Here is a 19,330-nt window from a genome sequence, read left to right as displayed (position 1 = left end):
TGAGCCACCGCACCCGGCCTATTTGATCCACCTGCCTTGGCCTCCTGAAGTGCTGGGATTGCAGGCATGAGCCACCGTGCCCGGCCTATTTGATCCACCTGCCTTGGCCTCCTAAAGTGCTAGGATTACAGGCATGAGCCACCGCGCCCGGCCTATTTGGAGTTTTCTAACAGTTGCTGGCAAGTGTGATTCTAACTAATAAGATTATTAGGCTGAACGTTGTGGCTTGCACCTGTGATGCTAGCACTTTGGGAGGCTAAAGCAGGTGGACTGCTTGAACTCCTGTTCAAGACCAGTCTGGGTAACATAGTGAACCTTGTCTCTACAGAAAATACAAAAATTAGCCAGATGCGGTTCTGCACACCTGTAGTCTCAACTGCTTGGGAGGCTGGGATGAGGCAAGAGAATTGCTTAAGCCCAGGAGTTTGAGACCAGGCTAGACAGCATAGTGAGACCCCATCTCTTAAAAAAAAAAATGGTTGGCCGGGTGCAGTGGCTCACGCCTGTAATCCCAGCACTTTGGGAGGCCAAGGCGGGCGGATCACAAGGTCAGGAGATCCTGGCTAACACGGTGAAACCCCGTCTCTACTAAAAATACAAAAAAAAATTAGCCGGGCGTGGTGGTGGGCACCTGTAGTCCCAGCTACTTGGGAGGCTTAGGCAGGAGAATGGCGTGAACCCAGGAGGCGGAGCTTGTGGTGAGCCAAGATGGCGCCACTGCACTCCAACCTGGGCGACAGAGTGAGACTCTGTCTCAAAAAAAAAAAAAAAGGTTATTAGCTTTGAAGGTGGAGGGGATTAGCAGGTTTTAAGTCAAGAAGACGAGGTGTGAAATAGTCTTCCCAGGGAGCAGGAGAGTAACTGGATAGGGAAAGTATAGTAAGATTGTCAGGCAGTGTGGGGTGCTCAGTTGAGATGCGTGTCACACATGTGAAGGGTGAGTGGATGTGGTTGTTTTTCTAGGGAAAAGGTTTGCTGCTTAGATGCAGGTGTGGAGTAGGCAGTTAGTTGGGTCAAACAAGGGTAGGTGGCCGGGCCTGGTGGCTCACGCCTATAATCCCAGCACTTTGGGGGATCGAGGTGGGCGGATCACCAGAGCTCAGGAGTTCGAGACCAGCTTGGCCAACATGGTGAAACCCCATCTCTACTAAAAATACAAAAATTAGCTGGGCGAGGTGGTGGGCTCCTGTAATCCCAGCCACTCAGGAGGCTGAGGCAGTAGAATCGCTTGAACCCAGGAGGTGGAGGTTGCAGTGAGCCCAGATCACGCCACTGCACTCCAGCCTTGGCAACAAGAGCGAAACTCTGTCTCAAGAAAAGAAAAGAAAAGAAAAAAGGGCTAGGTGTGGTGGCTCACGCCTATAATCCCAGCAGTTTGGGAGGCCGAGGCAGGTGGATCACAAGGTCGGGAGTTCGAGACCAACCTGGCCAACATGGCAAAATCCCGTCTCTACTAAAAATAGAAAATTAGCCGGGCATGGTGGCAGTTGCCTGTAATCACAGCTACTCAGGAGGCTGAGGGAGGAGAATCGCTTGAACCCGGAAGGCAGAGGTTGCAGTGAGCCGAGATTACACCACTGCACTCCAGCCTGGGAGACAGAGCGAGACTCCGTCTCAAAAAAAAAAAAAAAAAGAAAAGAAAAGAAAAATAGTAACTTGACAGTGGAAGAATCTGGCAGATGCCACGTTAACCAGGTGACTGAGGTCAGCCTCACCAGTGATGTCACAGTGACGCCACATGAGCCCTGCGGTGATGTAATGAGAAGCCTCCCCACACCCCAAACCCTCATCACGAGAGCACATCAGACAAACCCCAACTGAGGGACATTTTACCAAAGACTCATTCAATCTATAAAATTGAGCAGTGCTCCTCAAAACTGTCAAGATCATGAAAAACAGGGAAAGACTGATAAATTGTCACAGACCACAGACTAAAGAGACGTGATAGCTAAATGCAAAGTCGTATCTTGAATTGATTTCTGTAACAGATAGAGGATGTAGATGGAAAAACTAGTGAAATCCAAATAAAGCCTGGAGTTAGCAGTAATGTATCAAGGTTGGTTTCTTTTTTTTTCTTTTTTTTTTTTTTGCAACGGAGTCTTACTGTGTCACTGAGACTGGAGTGCAGTGGTGCTGTGTCAGCTCATTGCAACCTCCGTCTCCTGAGTTCAAGCAATTCTGCCTCAGCCTCCCGAGTAGCTGGGATTTCAGGCACCCACCACCATGCTAGTTTTTTTATATTTTTAGCAGAGATGGGGTTTCACCATGTTGTCCAGTCTGGTCGCAAACTCCTGACCTCAGGGGATCCACCCGCCTCGGCCTCCCAAAGTGCTGGGATGACAGGCGTGAGCCACCACGCCCGGCCCAATGTTGGTGTCTTAACTGTGACAAAGGAACCATAGGCATGGAAGACAGGCCGGGCTCAGTGGCTCACAACTGTAATCCCAGCACTTTGACAGGACAAGGCAGGAGGCTCCCTTGAGCCCAGGAGTTCAAGCCAGCCTGGGCAACATGGTGATACCTCGTCTCTACAAAAAAAAAAAATTTTTTTTTTTGAGACGGAGTCTCAATCTGTTACCCAGGCTGGTGGGCGCTGGGTGTGATCCCAGTTCACTACAATCTCCACCTCCTGGGTTCAAGTGATTCTCCTGCCTCAGTCTCCCCAGTAGCTGGGATTACAGGCATGCATTACCAGGCTGGGCTAATTTTTGTATTTTTTTTTTTTTTTTTTTTTTTTTTAGTAGAGACAGAGTTTCACCATGTTGCCCAGGCTGGTCTTGAACTCCTGACCTCAAGTGATCTGCCTGCCTCGGCCTCCCAATGTGCTGGGATTACAGGCGTGAGCCACCATGCCCAGCCAACTTTTTTAAATTAGCTGGATACAGTGACATGCCCCTGTGGCTGAGGTGGCAGGGTCACTTGAACCCAAGAGGTCAAGGCTGCAGTGAGCTGTGATTGTACCACTGCACTCCAGCCTGGACAACAGGATGAGACCCTGTTTTTTTTTTTTTGAGATGGAGTCCCACTCTATCGCCCAGGCTGGAGTGCAGTGGCGCGATCTCGGCTCACTGCAAGCTCCACCTTCCAGGTTCACGCCATTCTCCTGCCTCAGCCTCCCGAGTAGCTGGGACTACAGGCACCCACCACCACGCCCAGCTAATTTTTTTTGTATTTTTAGTAGAGACGGGGTTTCACCATGTCAGCCAGGATGGTCTTGATCTCCTGACCTTGTGATCCACCTGCCTTGGCTTCCCAAAGTGCTGGGATTCCGGGCGTGAGCCACCAAGCCCAGCCTTTTTGTTTTTGTTTTTTTTTGAGATGGAGGTTCTCTCTTGTTGCCCAGGCTGGAGTGTGATGGTGTGATCTTAGCTCACTGCAACCTCCGCCTCCTGAGTTCATGCATTTCTCCTGCCTCAGCCTCCTGAGTAGCTGGGATTACAGTACAGGCATGAGCTACCACGCCTGGCTAATTCTATATTTTTAGTAGAGACGAGGTTTCACTATGTTGACCAGGCTGGTCTCGAACTGCTGACCTCAGGTGATCTGCCCACCTCGGCCTCCCAAAGTGCTAGGATTATAGGCGTGAGCCACCTCGCCTGGCTGACCCTGTCTTTAAAAAAAAAAAAAAAAGGCCACCCTACTCCACCATCACTTGAGCTAATTAAATCTGCATGCAATGGGCCTATTTCCCAATATTGTCATATTCTGAGATATTCTGAGACACTGTGGATTAGGGCTTCAACACATTCTTATTTGGTGGCTGGGCATTTCATCCCATACCAGGCCCCTCCACATTTTTGCCTGCATCTCGTGGCCCAGAACCCAGCATCAGGTGCAGCTGTGTCTCCAGGTTGCTGTGGCAACGCCTCTCCGGACTCCTGCTGACAACGGCTCATCTTCCTCCATCCTCCTCGTGGGCTCCTTCATTCCCAGTCTCTGTTGACAGTCTCCTCAGGCCTCTGCTTGCCATGCCACCCAGTCCTGGAGCCAGTGCCACTGATTTTAGGTATTTGGTCCAGCAGCACCCCGCTTCCAGCTGCCAACTTCTATTTCAGTCACCTATCTGCTGTGTAAAATGTAGACGCTAGTAGCAACTTTTTTTTTTCTTTTTGAGATGGAGTCTTGCTCTGTCACCCAGGCTGGAGCACAGTGGTGCGATATCGGCTCACTGCAACCTCCGCCTTCCTGGTTCAAGCAATTCTCCTGCCTCAGCCTCCCAAGTAGCTGTGATTACAGGCATGTGCCACCATGCCCCGCTAATTTTTATTTTGTTTTGTTTTTGAGACAGAGTTTTGCTCTTGTTGCCCAGGCTGGAATGCAATGGCACGATCTCGGTTCACTGAGACCTCTGCCTTCCAGGCTCAAGCGATTCTTCTGCCTTAGCCTCCCTAGTAGCTGGGATTATAGGCATCCACCACCACGTCCAGCTAATTTTTTTGTATTTTTGTAGAGATGGGGTTTCACTATGTTGGCCAGGCTGGTCTTGAACTCCTGATCTCAGGTGATCCACCTCTCTCAGCCTCCCAAAGTTCTGGGATTACAGGTGTGAGCCACTGTGCCCGGCTAATTTTTTTTTTTTTTTTTTTTTGAGATGGAGTTTCGCTCTTGTTGCCCAGGCTGGAGTGCAGTGGCCATCTTGGCTCACTGCAACCTCCACCCCCCAGGTTCAAGTGATTCTTCTGCCTCAGCCTCCCAAGTAGCTGGGATTACAGGCATGCACTACCACGCCTGGCTAATTTTGTATTTTTAGTAGAGACAGGGCTTCAACATGTTGGTCAGGCTGGTCTCAAACTCCCAACCTCAGGTGATCTGCCCACCTCGGCCTCCCAAAGTGCTGGGATTACAGGTGTGAGCCACTTGCACCTGGCCTAATTTTTGTATGTTTTAGTAGAGACAGGGTTTCACCATATTGGCCAGGCTGCTCTTGAATGCCTGACCTTAGGTGATCTGTCCGCCTCGGCCTCCCACAGTGCTGGGATTACAGGCATGAGCCACCGTGCCCAGCCAGTAGCAACTTATTATTTATCCAATCGTTCAGGCTGACTGGCTCCATGGGGCAGTTCTACCCCAAGCATTGTAGCTGGGGTTACTTGTGTGACTGCATTTGGCTGGGAAGTCTGCTGGGGCTGGACCATCTGTAGCACCTGTCCCACAGAAACGCTCTGCGTGGCCTGTCCTCAACAGCCCCGTCGGAGCTCTTGCCAGCCGTAGCTGCAGGCATCCCAAAGTGAGCGAGAGCTCTGGAGTCACCCCACGGTGTGCGTGGTCACAGCCTTGGTTTGCACCATTCTTGCTGATGCCCACAGCCGGACCCAGGTCAATATCGGAGGGGGCACCTCAAGAGCTATGCCCGGAGGAACAATTCCTGGGGCTCCATGAGAGCAGTGGTCATAGGCAGAGAGACGTGGTGGGGCTGAAGGCTCTACTAAGTTTGAGGTGTTGGAGTGAGAGTACCAGAGTAGAGCAGCTGAGGGTGGGAGAGGGCAAGGAGATGATGGGGTTCCTGGAAGGAGCCTTGGGCCCCCCTGCAGGGTGAATAGGCATGAGAAGAAGCCCAGGACGGCTGGGCCAGGGTGAGGAGTAGAAACGGTTGTTGCAGAGGCACTGTCCCCAGGGACTTTTCAGCCAACAGGAGAGTGTGGAGAGGACCATCAGGCCCAAATGCCTTCAGGGAACCTGGGGTAGGGGAGCATGGGGGCTAGGGGGTGGAAGTGGGGACAGGAGTGTGAACTTGGCTGGAAAGATCACATTCCATTGGAGGGAGCAGAATAAAGCTCTGGGAAGGGACTCTGAGCCTGAGTTTGGAGCTCTAGGACATTTACAAGACTGCCCTAGGGATGGACATCTGTGGAGGGAGGGCGAGGAGGTCAGATGAGGCCGAGGGAGGAGTGATGGCCACCCAGGAGCAACAGCCCCTGCTGGCCCCCAAAGGCCTGAGCCGAGATCGCCCATCAAAGTTGTCCTGCCTCAGGCAGGAATGCCAGGGCCTCCATCAGTCACCAGGTGTGGCCACCCCTAGGAGGGTGTGGCCCTGGGCGAGGGGCTCTGCAGCTGCAGCCATCCCTCAAGGCTGCTGGTGACAAGACTCCCAGCAGCTGGGACAGCAGGAAGCCACACCACGGGCAGGTCCAGGAAGGTGAAGGTGGGGAGGCTCATGTTGCATCAGGAATTAGGAGGCTGCATAGGAGGCCGTCGACACTGGGCCTCCACTGTGCAGGCAGGTCAGTGCCCCCCGGCCACTTCCAGAGCCCTCCTCATATCACCCTGCTAGGAAAGAAGTGAGCCCAGCTGCCAGGAGTGCTTGCAGTGCTTAGGTGGGGCCCGGCTGCCCTCTGGTGGAAGCCCTTTCCTCCCCCTCCTCTGGAGTCACCTCCTCCGCCCCTGCCTCTTCCTCCCCCACCTCTTTCCTCCTCACATCCCCCGTCTCTGCCTCCTCCCAGGCCTCACTCTCAGGTTCCCCTAGCCTCTTCTCAATGTCTCCTTTATAACTTTATACCTGCCCCGAAGGACCATCCTGTAGGGCATGGAAGTATCCTGTGTCTCTGTAGGTGAGTGGGTTACAAGAGAATATGTGTTTTTAAAGCTGATGGAATTCTACATTTAAGATATTTTACATATGAAAATTGTATCTTCAGTTGGCCGGGTGCGGTGGCTCACGCCTGTAATCCCAGCACTTTGGGAGGCCGAGGCGGGTGGATCACAAGGTCAGGAGATCGAGATCATCCTGGCTAACACGGTGAAACCCCGTCTCTACTAAAAATACAAAAAAATTAGCCAGGCGTGGTGGCGGGCGCCTGTAGTCCCAGCTACTCAGGAAGCTGAGGCAGGAGAATGGTGTGAACCCGGGAGGCGGAGCTTGCAGTGAGCCGAGATTGCACCACTGCACTCCAGCCTGGGCAAGAGCAAGACTCTGTCTCAAAAAAAAAAAAAAAGAAAAGAAAAGAAAAAAAAAAAGAAAATTATATCTCCAGTTTAGAGAAATTAAGTGACCCCTGCCTAAAGCTGAAGGTCTGAGCAGGTCAGGCAGTTGGACCTCTTGGAAGGGGGTGGGATTTGGGCCCCTTCAGGGCTGCTGGCCTCTCTGCTATGCAGCCAGGGGGACACAGGAGACTGAGGGGTTGCCCTGCTGAAAGCAAGAAGGAGGCGGGGTCCAATCCTGTCTCCAGGCACCCCCAGCTCAAGCTGGGCTGGGCCCGAGTAGGAGCCTGAGGCCCAGCTCTGCAGCTCCTTAGCTGCACCTCCACCCTCGCTCATGTGCAGCACTCATGTCTTTATCAAGAGAAAATGGCCGTGTTGTTTTTTGTTTTTTCTTGAGACAGAGTCTCGCTCTGTTGCCCAGGCTGGAGTGCAGTGGTGCAATCTTGGCTCACTGCAACCTCCGTTGCAGTGAATTCCTCCTGATTTCAAGGAATTCTCTGCCTCAGCCTCCCAAGTTGCTGGGATTACAGGCGCCCGCCACCACACCCGGCTAATTTTTGTATTTTTAGTAGAGACATGGTTTCACCATGTTGGCCAGGCTGGTCTTGAACTCCTGACCTCCTGATCCATCTGCCTTGGCCTCCCAAAGTGCTGGGATTGCAGGCATGAGCACTACACCCGGCTACACCTGGCTAATTTTGTGTGTGTGTGTGTGTGTGTGTATGATTTGTTGTTGTTGTTGCTGAGGCAGAGTCTCGTTCTGTTGCCCAGGCTGGAGTGCAGTGGCGCAGTCTCAGCTCACTGCAACCTCTGCCACTCTGGTTCAAACGATTCTCCTGCCTCAGCCTCCCAAGTAGCTGGGATTACAGGCGCTTGCCACCACGTCTGGCTAATTTTTTGTATTTTTAGTAGAGATGGGGTTTCTCCATGTTGGCCAGGCTGGTCTCAAACCCCAGACCTCAGGTGATCCACCCACCTTGGCCTCCCAAAGTGCTGAGATTACAGGCACGAGCCACCATGCCCAGCCAATTTTTGTATTTTTAGTAGAGACGGGGTTTCACCATGTTGGCCAGGCTGGTCTCAAACTCCTGACTTCAAGTGATCCACCCACCTCAGCCCCCCAGAGTGTTGGGATTACAGGTGTGAGCCACTGCGCCCCGCCAAAGATGGCGTTTTGTGATGCCATGTCTGGGATTTGCTTCAAAATGATGAGGGAGTCGGGGAGGAAGCAAGATGCCTATAGGCTGTTTTTTTTGTCGTTTTTTGTTTTTCAGACGGAGTCTCACTCTGTCGCCCAGGCTGGAGTGCAGTGGCGCGATCTTGGCTCACTGCAAGCTCCACCTCCTGGGTTCACGCCATTCTCCTGCCTCAGCCTCCTGAGTAGCTGGGACTACAGGCACCCGCCATGACGCCCGGCTAATTTTCTTTTGTATTTTTAGTAGAGATGGGGTTTCACCGTGTTAGTCAGGATGGTCTCTATCTCCTGACCTCATGATCTGCCCGCCTCAGCCTCCCAAAGTGCTGGGATTACAGGCGCCCAGCCACCCATAGGCTGGTCTTTAGTGAAGGTGCTTATTGGGCAAGAGGGGAACCTGCATTAACTGGCTCTCTGCACATCTGTGCATATTTCATATTTTCTGTAATAAAACAAGAAAAAACCCTGAAATTTGCATTTTGTCCTTTAATTTGCATGTCTTTGATTCCTTTTTTTTTTTTTTTTTTTTAAAGACAGAGTCTAGCTCTGTTGCCCAGGCTGGAGTGCAATGGAGGGCAATGGTGCAATCTCAGCTCACTGGAACTTCTGCCTCCCGGGTTCAAGCAATTCTCCTGCTTCAGCCTCCCAAGTAGCTGGGATTACAGGTGTGTGCGCCACCACGCCCAGCTAATTTTTGTATTTTTAGTAGAGACGGGGTTTCACCACGTTGGCCAGGCTGGTCTCGAACTCCTGACCTCAAGTGATCCACCCGTTTTGGCCTCCCAAAGTGCTGGGATTACAGATGAGCCACTGCACCCAGCCAGCATGTGTGTGATTCCTAAGAAGATCTCTTATTTCTTCTGTAGTCAATCACCTGCTAAGCCCTTTGGAGTCTCAGCATCTTTGTTCTGTAAAAAGTTCATTTATACCAGTTATTTCTCCCGACAATCAGAATGTTAACCTGTTGTTATGTTTAGTGCAGGTGTTTTCTGGCACTGACACTTGCCCTCGCTCTCTGCTTCTGGTTTTCACACGCACATTTCCACTTGTGCTGCAACCTTGCTCCTGTGGGTCCTCCAAAGCTCCTGCCCAGCAGGGACCAAGTCTGCCCACCGGCTTTTCTGGGCCACTCTTCACGCCCTTGTCCCCATGCCTACCCCCCAACCCCACCAGAGCCATTTTGGAATACAGACCCACCCCCCATCCTGAAACCTTCCCCAGGGGCTCCATCCCCAGCGACCCCACGTCCTCCCTGCTGAGGGCCCTCCTTCCATGCTGTCCCTCCCCACAGTCCTCTCTGGGGGCTGCTTTCTCTCTCCCCCAAATACTCCTGTGCTCCTGGCTGAGGCCTGCAGACCCCAATTCCCTCCTCTCCTTGAGCGTCCCAGCTGGAGCACGTGTCATTGGCCACCAACCACCCAGCAGCAGCTCTCACTATGGCTTCGTCCCCACCCATCGCTGCCTGAATTCCTGGTGGTCTAATGTTCTCGTGGATGAACCACTGCAGACTGCCTGTCCCTTCCAAGCCTTGATCTCTTCTCCAAGTCAATGTCCTCATCTTCTAACCCAACTGTGCTCCATCACCACCAGTAACTGCATCCCATACCTGTCACCTCCATTCAACACCCTATTCTCTGCCCATCGCTTCTGTCCAGCAGGGTGGACCCTCGGATCTGGGCTGTCCACTTATTTCCTGGGTTGGAGCCTCAATAGGGCAGGGGTGGGTGAGAATGCAACTGCAGGATCTGAGGGTGGGCACACCAGGGGCTCTGGCTTTGCTGAGGGTGGGGTGCTGGAGACACAAGAGTGGGGACCCCTGACCCTTATGGCTGACCTTTCCACAACATGGGGCCTGGGAGGGGCAGGGAGAGGTGCGGCCAGCAGCAGAGGGCACGGAGGGTTCAGAGCCAACACTGCACCCACCCGAAGGGACAAGGGGGCAGAACTGGGGCTTGCATCAGGGCGGCAGGAAGAGACTCCCCAAGAGGGGCTCTGCAGAGAGTGGCTAGGGGGACCAGGACTTTAATTGGCTGGGGACCAAGGCAGCCTTGCCTGGGAACCCTGACCATCTCCTCTCCTGCAACAAAGCCTCCCAAGGCCCCAGCTCTCAGTAAGAGACTCGGGGAGGCCTCCCATGCAGGAGGGCTGACACTTTTCCAAAGCGTGAGAATCGTCCACTGTCCTCCTTCAGCCTCTCCTAGCTGGGGCCCAGGACTGGGGCACCACAGCGACCTCCTGATGCTGGGGGTGAGGGGGAAGGGGGGGGATCAGGATGCTGGTGGGGGGGCGGGGCGAGGAGGCCCAAGTAATTGCGCCCGGGTCGCATGTGCGCTCCGCACCCCGGTCGGTGCAGACTGATGGCCAAAGCCTGGACCCAGCTGTCCCTCCCCGCCAGGGGTCCCGGGGGGCTGCGGGCTCCACCCGAGCGGGAGCAAGGGCCGCCCCAATGGTTCCCGCGGGAGCGCCTGGCCACGGGACACATGTGTGCCGCTGTGATGCCTCTTCCGTCAAGGGGACTGGGGGCAAAAGGGGCGAGGAGCTTGACAGAGAGAGGCAGGTATGTGCACAGAGGCAGGAGAGGAAGGGGCTGAGAGGGTGGATGGAGGGACAAGGAAACGGGGTGAGTGCAGGGCGACAGGAATGGCGCGGGGAGAAGGGACGAAGTGGGAGGAGCAGAGGAGAGAAACGGGGGGTGGGGGGACAGGGCAGACGAACGGAAGAATGGGGGAAGGGGACAGAGTTGGGGGTCGGAGGACCCGGAGAGTGGGGACAGAGAGGCAAGAATACTAGGACGAACGGAGGAGGCCAAGGATGGAGTCGAAGGACAGAGTTGAGGGCGGGGACAGGGTCCGGGAGAAGGCGGTGAGCGCTGGGTCATGAGGGGATCGCGCCTGGCACGTCCCGCCGGCGCCCCGAGGGTCTGCCGGGTAATTAGGCCTCGGTCCAGATGGCCCCCCAGTCCCGCAATCAAAATGTTAATTGGCCCCACGCCTCCGGCTGTGCCTTGGCCCGGCCCCCCCCTGGGAGGGAGCCAGGACCCGCGCGGCGCGGCCGAGGGGGATCCCGCCCCCGCCCCCACCGCGAGCCTAGCCGGCTGCCGCTCGGAGATAAGGGGGCGGCCGCGCCCCGCCCCCACCCCTCGGGAGCGCCTGCCACGCAAGATGAATGTCCCGCCGCTGCCGGGGCCGGGGCGGCTGGCACAAAGCGGGTCCGTGGTCTCCGCCGCACCCCCCGCGCGGGCGGGCCGGGTCACACCCACCCGGGCTCCGCGCGGGGCCGGGCGGCCGGGGGCGGGGCGCTGAGCTCAGCAAGTGCAGCGCGCCCCCGCAGGCCGCCTTCCCCGGGGCCCGCCCGCCGCGCGCTCCCAGCCGCTGTCCGCGGGTCCGCCCCGCGCAAGGTCATTTTGCGCCGCAACGAGCGCGCTCCAGTATCGCACGCGCTCCCGGCACACCCGCGCCCGGACGCTCCCCGGGGCCGCCCCCGCGACCTTGGTCCCCAGCGGCAGCGGGGCGCGTGGGAGCGCGCTCGGAGCCCGTAGACCCGGACCACCGGGCGGGGCGGGTGAGGGGACAATGGCGGCGCCAGGCCCTAATTGGGGACAGAGGCACCCGCGCGCGGCCATTGTGCGGCCCGGAGCCCCGGAGCCCCCGCGCCCGGCGCCCCGCCATTGGCCGCTGAGCCTGACGTCATGGGGGCTGCAAACGCTGGGCGGGCGGCCGAGGAAAGGGTTATCCGCCTGGTTGCGGGGCTGCCGTGGGGAGCTGCAGCCGCGCGGAAGGGCGGAAAACCCCCAAAGCAGCAGAATTTCTGGAGCAGGGTCGTGGCAGCCCCTCTCCAGCTCCACACCCGGCTCGCAGCGACGCCGCTGCGCCGCACACCCGCCCGGGGGGAGAGAGGCGGGGGCGGGTAGGCCCCTCCAGCGTGCACGGGGTCAGCCGGGGTGACCGAGCGGCGGGAGCCACTGCGGCACAGGGCGCGCGCTGCGCTTTCGCTGCCTCAGCACTTGCTCCTTCGGCTCCCGCCTCCCCCGCCCGCCCCCGCAGATCCCGCGCCCCAGGCCCCGAGCGAGGCAGGCGGGACTGGGGTCCTCCCTACGTTCCTCCCCACAAGACCCCGAGTCCGGGGCGCTTGGGTCCCAGGCCTGGCTCCATTTCTCCCCACACGCCCGACAATGCTGCTGGCTGCCGGGCCGCGGTTCCCCGAGCCGCGCGGGGGAATTCCCCACTCGCGCAGGCTGAGGCATCCCCGGGACCCCTCCCAGGAGACCCAGGCCGGGGCTCGGCCCAGCGCAGCCATTTCCGCCGGCCTCTCCCCCACCTCCCTCCCCCTCCCCCAGCTCCTGGGCTTTAAAAGCCAGAGGCTGGGCCGGGCCGCAGGCAGAGGCGGCTGCGGGCTCTGGAGGCCGGGCCCAGGAGCAGTCCGAGCGCCGAGCCCCGCCCCCGGAGCCCCTGTCCCTCCCTCCCTCCCTCCCTCGGCCCGCCCTCCCTGCGCACCCCTCCCCCCAGGACCCCCGCCCCCCGCCCGCCGCCGCCGCCGCCGCCGCCGCCGCCGTCGCCACTGCCGCTCGCTCCGGCTGCAGAACAATAAAGCAAGCCTCCCAGAGACCCCCGCCGAGGACCCCTGCCCGGCGGCCAAACCCCCGCGGACCGCCCCTCTCCGCCCGCGCCGGTTGAGCGCGCCCGGGCGCTGGCCGCGGTGCTGCCCAGGCCGGCGCTGGCCGCGGTGCTGAAGCTGCCGGCGCTGCCGCTGCCACCGCGTTCTCCGGGCCCGGCGCCGCCGCCCCCGGGGGCATGGGGGGCCGCTGACTGAGGCTCCGCCGCGGCGGCGGGGGGGGGGAGGGGAAGGGGGCCACCGAGCCGGGCCAGCCCTGCACCCACTCGCAGCCTCCAGGCCCGGGACGGAGCCGCTCCCCCCCTCTCCGCCCCCCCAGCCTCCTCCCCCGCCTGTCCAGGGGCGGCACTGCGGGCTGGGAAGCCGGGACCAGAGGAGGGAAGGAAGGAAGAGGAGAGGAGAGAAGAGGAGAGAAGGAAGGAAGGATTGAAGGAAGGAAGGAAGGATTGAAGGAAGGAGGAAGAAGAGGGATCCGGAGGGGCAACGGAGGAGACGCAGGGCAGCAAGGAGAGAGGACACCACTCGCGCGGCAGCATCCAAAGGCCAGAGTGGGGACCCGCGCTGCCTCCGCCGCTCCTCGGATGGTGACGGGGCCCTGCCGCCGCAGCCCCCCCAAGCCCCGGCTCCGCAGGCCCACAGCGCCGGAGCCCCGCAGGAATCATGCCCAGGTCCTTCCTGGTCAAGAAGGTCAAACTTGACGCGTTCTCTTCGGCCGACCTGGAGAGCGCCTACGGACGCGCCCGCAGCGACCTCGGCGCGCCACTGCACGATAAAGGTGAGCGCTGGTCTGAGACCAGGGCGCGGGGCCTGGGGCTTTGCTGGAAGCGGTGGAGGGCCAGAGTGTGGGGGCGGAGGGCAGGGCCCGGGGAAACAGACTGAAGGGAACCAGAAACGGCAAGAGTCTGTGGCTGGAGCCTGGACGGTAGAGGGGAGGAAGGGGAACACAGAGGCCAAGGCTGGGCAGGGAGAGTGTCGACGTTGGACAGAGGGTGGGGAAGAGGATCAGGAACTGAGGTACCCAAACGCACACATGGACCCACATCCTGACCCATGCTGGGACAGACACAGCCGCATGGGCGCTGCCATGACGGGACCCAGCCATGCCGGCACACACAGACCTACACTCAAGAGACCAGGGCCGCCTCGCCACCCTCTCCTCTTCCTTGACTGCACCAGGACACCTGCTAGGGTTAGCTGGGGAATGCAGGGAGCTCCAGGGAGTAGGCAGGGGGTCCAACAGGGCCGCCCACCTGTCAGAGCAGAGGGCCAGCAGAGGCAGCAGCAGTCTCTTCCCTGAAGCCTGGGTCAGGGAGAGGAAGCAGGGAGGAGGCTGTGAGCAAGGGACGCCCAAGGTGTGGGAGGCAGGGGGAGGCTCTTTGTGTAAGGGTGCCCAAGTTCAAGGACAACTGTCAGCATGCAGGAGAGGGGGACAGGAGTGCCAGCAGCATGGGGTGGCAGAGCAAGTGTGACCTGCAGGAGTGTGAGCCTGTGTGGGTCCATGTGACTGTGTGTGGCCATGTGACCGTGTGCGCTTGTGTGTGACCCTGTGTGTGTGTGTGCTTGCCTGTGTGCCACTACATGGGACCATGTGACTCTGAGGCCGCTGTGCACCATGTGACTTGAGAGTGTGTCCGGGGTGACTGCATGTGTGACCCTGCGTGAGTGAGGAGGTGGTGAGTTCGGCACATCAGTGTGCAGCCCACCCTGTGAGGGCACACAAGGGCTGATCATGCTGGGAGACTGGGTGTAGCCCTGAAGGAGGCAGAGCGTCGCGAGGGGCGTGCATTTGTGACTTTGAGGTTATGAGATCCATCTTGTGCCTGGGGAGCAACTGCAGCTACCGGTATAAGTGATGCTGCCCTCCTGCAGCTCGTCCCTGTGAAAGTGGACGCCCTGGCCCTCTCTGCACAGTTCAGGGGCTTGGGAAGGCCCTGAAAGGGGTTAGGGTGTGAGCAGGAGAGGGCAATGTTGAACAGGGTAGGACCCAAGGGTGCAGGATGGTGAGAGGGAGTTCGGAGGAGAAGCAGAGTGCATGGAGGAGCAGGGAGGGCAGGGTCAAGTCCAGTGGGTGGCCGGAGAGCTGAGGGAGGTGCTGGTGAGGCCGGAGGGAACTGGGGGAGGGAGACGTCTTCAGGGCTTGTTGGAGGAACCAGAAGGCCAGAGGGGGTCAACATCAAAATGGAGCGCACGTTCTGCAGGCCAGAGGGAGAGCCGGCCAGGACCCCGGAGAGGTGGGACAGACGGGGTCCCTGGGCCGGCAGTCCTGGCTTTGTGCGCCGCGGGTCTGCAGTGTGTTGCATAATCAGGGAAAACTGCTGAAGTGGGGAGAACCCGAGGGGGAGGGGAGGGTGGGTGGGGGAGGAGGGAGAGGGAAGCGCCGCCCCTCCCCCCTGACCTTGAGGCTCCGCGGAAGGGGGGCAGCCGCGCCCGAAGACGCGCCTCTCTCCTCCTCTCTGCGAGGGTGGGGCGGCGGGGGCGGAGCGTGGCCCGGCCCTGTCTCATCCTCTCCTCCCCTCTCTTCCCCTCCCTGCTGTCTCCATCCTCCCTGCCCGGCGGTCCCTCGGCCTCCTCTCCTTTGTCCTCCTCCCTGTTCGCCTCTCTCCCGGACCCGGGTCTCCCGGTCCGCGTCTGCTGTCTCCCGCCCCCCCATCCCCCGTGTGTGTCCTGCCGCCGCCCCATTCCCTTCCCGCTGTCCGTCCGCCTCCGCCCGCAGGGTACCTCAGCGACTACGTGGGGCCCTCGTCCGTCTACGATGGCGACGCCGAGGCTGCGCTGCTCAAAGGGCCGTCGCCGGAGCCCATGTACGCAGCAGCTGTGCGTGGAGAGCTGGGTCCGGCGGCTGCAGGGTCTGCGCCGCCGCCCACCCCGCGCCCGGAGCTGGCCACCGCTGCGGGCGGCTACATCAACGGCGACGCGGCCGTCAGCGAGGGCTACGCGGCGGACGCCTTCTTCATCACCGACGGGCGCTCGCGGCGTAAGGCTTCCAATGCCGGCGCTGCCGCCGCTCCCTCCACAGCCTCGGCGGCGGCCCCCGACGGCGACGCCGGAGGCGGGGGCGGGGCGGGCGGGCGCAGCTTGGGATCCGGGCCGGGGGGCCGGGGCGGCACGCGCGCGGGGGCAGGCACCGAGGCGCGCGCGGGGCCAGGGGCCGCAGGTGCTGGCGGCCGGCACGCGTGCGGCGAGTGCGGCAAAACATACGCCACGTCGTCGAACCTGAGCCGCCACAAGCAGACGCACCGCAGCCTGGACAGCCAGCTGGCGCGGCGCTGCCCGACGTGCGGCAAGGTGTACGTGTCCATGCCGGCCATGGCCATGCACCTGCTCACGCACGACCTGCGCCACAAGTGCGGCGTGTGCGGCAAAGCCTTCTCGCGGCCCTGGCTGCTGCAGGGCCACATGCGCTCGCACACCGGCGAGAAACCCTTCGGCTGCGCGCACTGCGGCAAGGCCTTCGCCGACCGCTCCAACCTGCGCGCGCACATGCAGACGCATTCGGCCTTCAAGCACTTCCAGTGCAAGCGCTGCAAGAAGAGCTTCGCGCTCAAGTCCTATCTCAACAAGCACTACGAGTCGGCCTGCTTCAAGGGCGGCGCCGGAGGCCCCGCGGCTCCTGCGCCGCCACAGCTCAGCCCTGTGCAGGCCTAGGGCGGCGGGGCCTCCCCCAGCCAGGTCGGCTCTCAGCAATACGGCCCCCCAGGGAAGTCTTCGCTGGCGTCCGGGTGGAGGGGCCGGAGGGCGGGCCCCTCCTCACAGCAATAGGGGGAGGGGGGCCCGGTCCCACCCCGCCCCGCCCGCCAGGGGCCTTGCCGGCCCCTTCAAGCAATAGGGTCCCGAGGGGAGACCCACCCCGAGCCCCCTCCCCTCCCCTCCAGGGTGCCCCCGGCTTTCTCCCAGCAATAGGGTCGACGAGACCTAGAACCGAACCTCATCTCCGAGTTGGGTCTCTGAAGACGGGGGTGAGGTGAGGTAGGGAGCGCCCTCCTTCTCCCGCCTCTGCGCCCCTGGATCGCGTCGCAGGGACTCAGGTCTTCCCCACCCCTTCCCAAGCCTTCTAGCGCAGGGCCTGCGGCCCAGACGTCCAGGGAGCCGGCCCCTCCCCGGCAGCAGGCCGGGGCGGAGCAGGAGCGGGCGGGCCTGCAGGGACGCCCCTGCCTAGCAGCCTTCGCGGAACTCCCGGCAGTGTTAGACGCGTTGTGGGTCGGGGAGAGGGGCGGACGGCGGCACCCCCTCCCTCGGGTTGCTTCTGGGGCCTCAGTCGGAGCCGCCCTCCTACCCTCGCCTCGCATCCTCTGCCAAATCCGAATTCTTCCAGCCCAGCTTCCCGGGCTCTGTCCTCCATATCGAATAATAATGACACATATCGAATCGCATGGACTTATCCGACCTCCTCAGACCCCGCTTCCGCCCTGCCCCGGGCCCCCACCCCCCACCCCCGTACCCCAGGCATTCGTGTTGGAGGACGGATTCCCGGGGCCGGCAGGCAGGCCTGGGCGCTGCCCTCTACACACCTCTGTCTTCGCTTTGCGGGTAAAGCCCCCTGGGGGGGTTGCGGACGCGTCGGGTTTCTTTTTCTGTATTTGTACGTTTTATTTATGAACGGATTGCACTCGGGTCAGGGAGGGGGCGCTGAACCCCCATCTTGCCCGCCGACGCCGGGGGCCTGGGATGTCCGGGATTACTTTCCACGCCCCGAGGCCCGCCCCTAGCTGGGAGCCTCTAGGGAGCCTCAGGCCCCGCCTCTCCGAGGCAGGCCCCTCCCCTGAGACCCAGGCCCCGCCCCTGAGACCCAGGCCCCGCCCCCACTCGGTTGCCAACTTTCGCCCGTCTATGCCAAAGCCTCGGCGGCGACCCCGCCCCAAGGGCCCGCCCCATTGGCCGCCGCCTTTGTGACGTCACTGCATGCAGCCCCACCCCTCCTCCCGATCCTACCCGGGGCTGCCCGCTCCCCCTCCCTCTTAGGTAGTCCGAAGCCGACTATAGAGCAATAATGCGCACTGCATGCGAAGCTGCCGCCGCCTCTAGAGTTACTGAGAATCAGGTATCCCCTCGCCCTACCCACCCCATAGGCCCCTAGATCAGGGACGCTGCGCGGGGCCGGCCGCGCAGACTTTCTCCCCACCCCTCCCCGACCCCCACGGCAGAGCCCGGCGGCTGTAATGGTTCCATGGGCGGGGGTGGGGTGGTTGCCCCCAAGACCCCTCCTTCAGGCATTAATCATTCACTGACCGTTCATTGAGCACCTACTATGTGCCAGGCCAATTGCTGAGTCCGCCAGGAGCGCAGCCACCTGCTGGGAGGTGTGTTTGCAGGACAGGGGTCCAACCGGCTTGGGTGGGCCAGGGAAGAACGGCAGATGCAGAGAGACCAGGTCCCTAGGTTCACATGCCCCCTACACTCCTCCCCACCTCAACCAGTCCCTGCTGGGCACAACTGGGCTCTACCTTTGAGTTAGGCCTTTTGACTCCAGCTGAGGGGGACAGATCCAGGGCTCCTGGGCCCCCACACAGGTGGCCACTTCTCTGATCCTCTGGCCAACACACATCTGCCATGTCCAGCCAGGGGCAGAGCCATGGCTGGAGAAGAAGGTGCCAGCTGTAGCCTATGGTGTGGCCAGCCTCACCCCCAGCAGCAAGCGTGGCTGCCCCCACAAGGATGACCCACCGCTCTGCACAGCAGTGCCCACATCCAAACACCCTACACAACCAGGTGTGGTGCCTGCACAGCTCCCAAGCTGGGGCCTGCCCACCTGTGCCGCATGCACACGCACACACAGGCGCCCCCACCTCACCCCACCCCATACTCCTGTCTACCTACCTAAGGAGAAAGCTGGAGGGCTGTGGGCCCGTCAGGGTCTCCTGCTTCCCCCTACACCCCGCCGCCGTGGAAAGCCATGGGCCCCCTCCCGCCCCCATAACTAAGCAGCACAATAACCGACTTAGCGAATTCAGGTAGAAGGAACGTTTAGGTAGCACCTATTTTGTACTGATTCTACAAGTAGGGCCCGAGGTGCGGGGGCCCTCGGGTGGGGGCTGCGGCCGCCGGCCCGCCCGCCCCCACCCCCGCCTGTGCCCCGCCGCCTTGTACATATTCCCACCCGGAATAGGCCGGGATTTTTACTCGGGCCGTGCCCCTCTTCCGCCCCCATTTGGGGCCAGGCCGGCCGGACAGACGGACGGACGGACAGACCTCCTTCCTAAGCACAATAGCACCAGCTCCCCGGAGCACCGCACCTCCACAAGGAGAATAAATGCCACTCTTGATAGAATTTGGAGTGTCGGGCTGATGTGTCCTGGGCTGGGCCCACGCTGTTGGGTGGCTGGGAGGGTCTTCCCAGTCTGGCAGTACCTCAGAGGCTGGTGCTGCAAGGGTCAGCCTGAGGCCTTTCACAAGACGGCCCTCTTCTTCCACTGGGGAGGGCAGGCTTGGCAGGCCCAACCACAGGAGCATCAGGTCTGAAGGCAAAGTAGTTGGCATTTCCCCTGGGGTAGGTGGATCTGCTCCACACCAGGAACAGGAGCACTAAGGGGTTCCAGTCTAAAGTCAGGCCAAGCCCACGGTTGGACCAGAGTGGGCAGGGTAGGTATAGTAGGAGCTGCTGTTCCCCAG

The 19,330-nt window shown here is 60.3% G+C and overlaps 1 protein-coding gene across 2 annotated transcripts, besides 9 other annotated features; it reads left to right on the top strand.

Annotated features, from left to right (window-relative positions):
• Window positions 6,136-6,277: a silencer, noted in NCBI's record as "fragment chr8:145566939-145567080 (GRCh37/hg19 assembly coordinates)". NCBI's record gives its function as "represses an EF-1alpha promoter that drives an FKBP-Casp9 reporter gene in an ReSE screen in phorbol 12-myristate 13-acetate-treated (for megakaryocytic differentiation) K562 erythroleukemia cells {active_cell/tissue: K562(+PMA)}" and the evidence as "EXISTENCE:reporter gene assay evidence [ECO:0000049][PMID:32094911]".
• SCRT1 (scratch family transcriptional repressor 1) lies at window positions 13,072-18,989 on the top strand. 2 transcript variants are annotated; one of them, NM_031309.6, is made up of 2 exons: window positions 13,072-13,499; window positions 15,438-18,989. In NM_031309.6, exons 1-2 carry the CDS (start codon window positions 13,385-13,387, stop codon window positions 16,367-16,369), a joined length of 1,047 nt encoding a protein of 348 aa, NP_112599.2. In that variant the 5' UTR covers window positions 13,072-13,384; the 3' UTR covers window positions 16,370-18,989. The 2 variants fall into 2 exon arrangements, with proteins under 2 accessions (NP_112599.2, XP_024303059.1); XM_024447291.2 differs by lacking the exon at window positions 13,072-13,499 and adding an exon at window positions 14,363-14,567.
• Window positions 13,732-13,918: a silencer, noted in NCBI's record as "fragment chr8:145559298-145559484 (GRCh37/hg19 assembly coordinates)". NCBI's record gives its function as "represses an EF-1alpha promoter that drives an FKBP-Casp9 reporter gene in an ReSE screen in phorbol 12-myristate 13-acetate-treated (for megakaryocytic differentiation) K562 erythroleukemia cells {active_cell/tissue: K562(+PMA)}" and the evidence as "EXISTENCE:reporter gene assay evidence [ECO:0000049][PMID:32094911]".
• Window positions 14,042-14,657: an enhancer, noted in NCBI's record as "H3K4me1 hESC enhancer chr8:145558559-145559174 (GRCh37/hg19 assembly coordinates)". NCBI's record gives its function as "activates a minimal SCP1, AML or CMV promoter by ChIP-STARR-seq in naive H9 embryonic stem cells {active_cell/tissue: H9 hESC(naive)}" and the evidence as "EXISTENCE:reporter gene assay evidence [ECO:0000049][PMID:30033119]".
• Window positions 15,561-16,268: an enhancer, noted in NCBI's record as "H3K27ac-H3K4me1 hESC enhancer chr8:145556948-145557655 (GRCh37/hg19 assembly coordinates)". NCBI's record gives its function as "activates a minimal SCP1, AML or CMV promoter by ChIP-STARR-seq in naive and primed H9 embryonic stem cells {active_cell/tissue: H9 hESC(naive and primed)}" and the evidence as "EXISTENCE:reporter gene assay evidence [ECO:0000049][PMID:30033119]".
• Window positions 16,269-16,977: an enhancer, noted in NCBI's record as "H3K27ac-H3K4me1 hESC enhancer chr8:145556239-145556947 (GRCh37/hg19 assembly coordinates)". NCBI's record gives its function as "activates a minimal SCP1, AML or CMV promoter by ChIP-STARR-seq in naive H9 embryonic stem cells {active_cell/tissue: H9 hESC(naive)}" and the evidence as "EXISTENCE:reporter gene assay evidence [ECO:0000049][PMID:30033119]".
• Window positions 16,978-17,686: an enhancer, noted in NCBI's record as "H3K4me1 hESC enhancer chr8:145555531-145556238 (GRCh37/hg19 assembly coordinates)". NCBI's record gives its function as "activates a minimal SCP1, AML or CMV promoter by ChIP-STARR-seq in naive H9 embryonic stem cells {active_cell/tissue: H9 hESC(naive)}" and the evidence as "EXISTENCE:reporter gene assay evidence [ECO:0000049][PMID:30033119]".
• Window positions 16,978-17,691: a biological region, named in NCBI's record as "H3K4me1 hESC enhancer GRCh37_chr8:145555531-145556238".
• Window positions 17,192-17,241: an enhancer, noted in NCBI's record as "active region_28095". NCBI's record gives its function as "activates an Ori minimal core promoter by ATAC-STARR-seq in GM12878 lymphoblastoid cells {active_cell/tissue: GM12878}" and the evidence as "EXISTENCE:reporter gene assay evidence [ECO:0000049][PMID:35858748]".
• Window positions 17,402-17,691: a silencer, noted in NCBI's record as "silent region_19674". NCBI's record gives its function as "represses an Ori minimal core promoter by ATAC-STARR-seq in GM12878 lymphoblastoid cells {active_cell/tissue: GM12878}" and the evidence as "EXISTENCE:reporter gene assay evidence [ECO:0000049][PMID:35858748]".

Source organism: Homo sapiens, chromosome 8, assembly GCF_000001405.40.
Source record: "Homo sapiens chromosome 8, GRCh38.p14 Primary Assembly".
In the NCBI taxonomy this organism is placed as follows: domain Eukaryota; kingdom Metazoa; phylum Chordata; class Mammalia; order Primates; family Hominidae; genus Homo; species Homo sapiens.
Note: the sequence above shows the minus strand (reverse complement) of the source record. Positions and strands in the feature narration are given on the sequence as shown.

Bases quoted from the DNA above. Each gene is read 5' to 3' on its own strand.
- SCRT1 (NM_031309.6), top strand. From the start codon at position 13,385: ATGCCCAGGTCCTTCCTGGTCAAGAAGGTCAAACTTGACGCGTTCTCT. The intron at 13,500-15,437 runs GTGAGCGCTGGT...CTCCGCCCGCAG, and splicing joins CGCGCCACTGCACGATAAAG to GGTACCTCAGCGACTACGTG.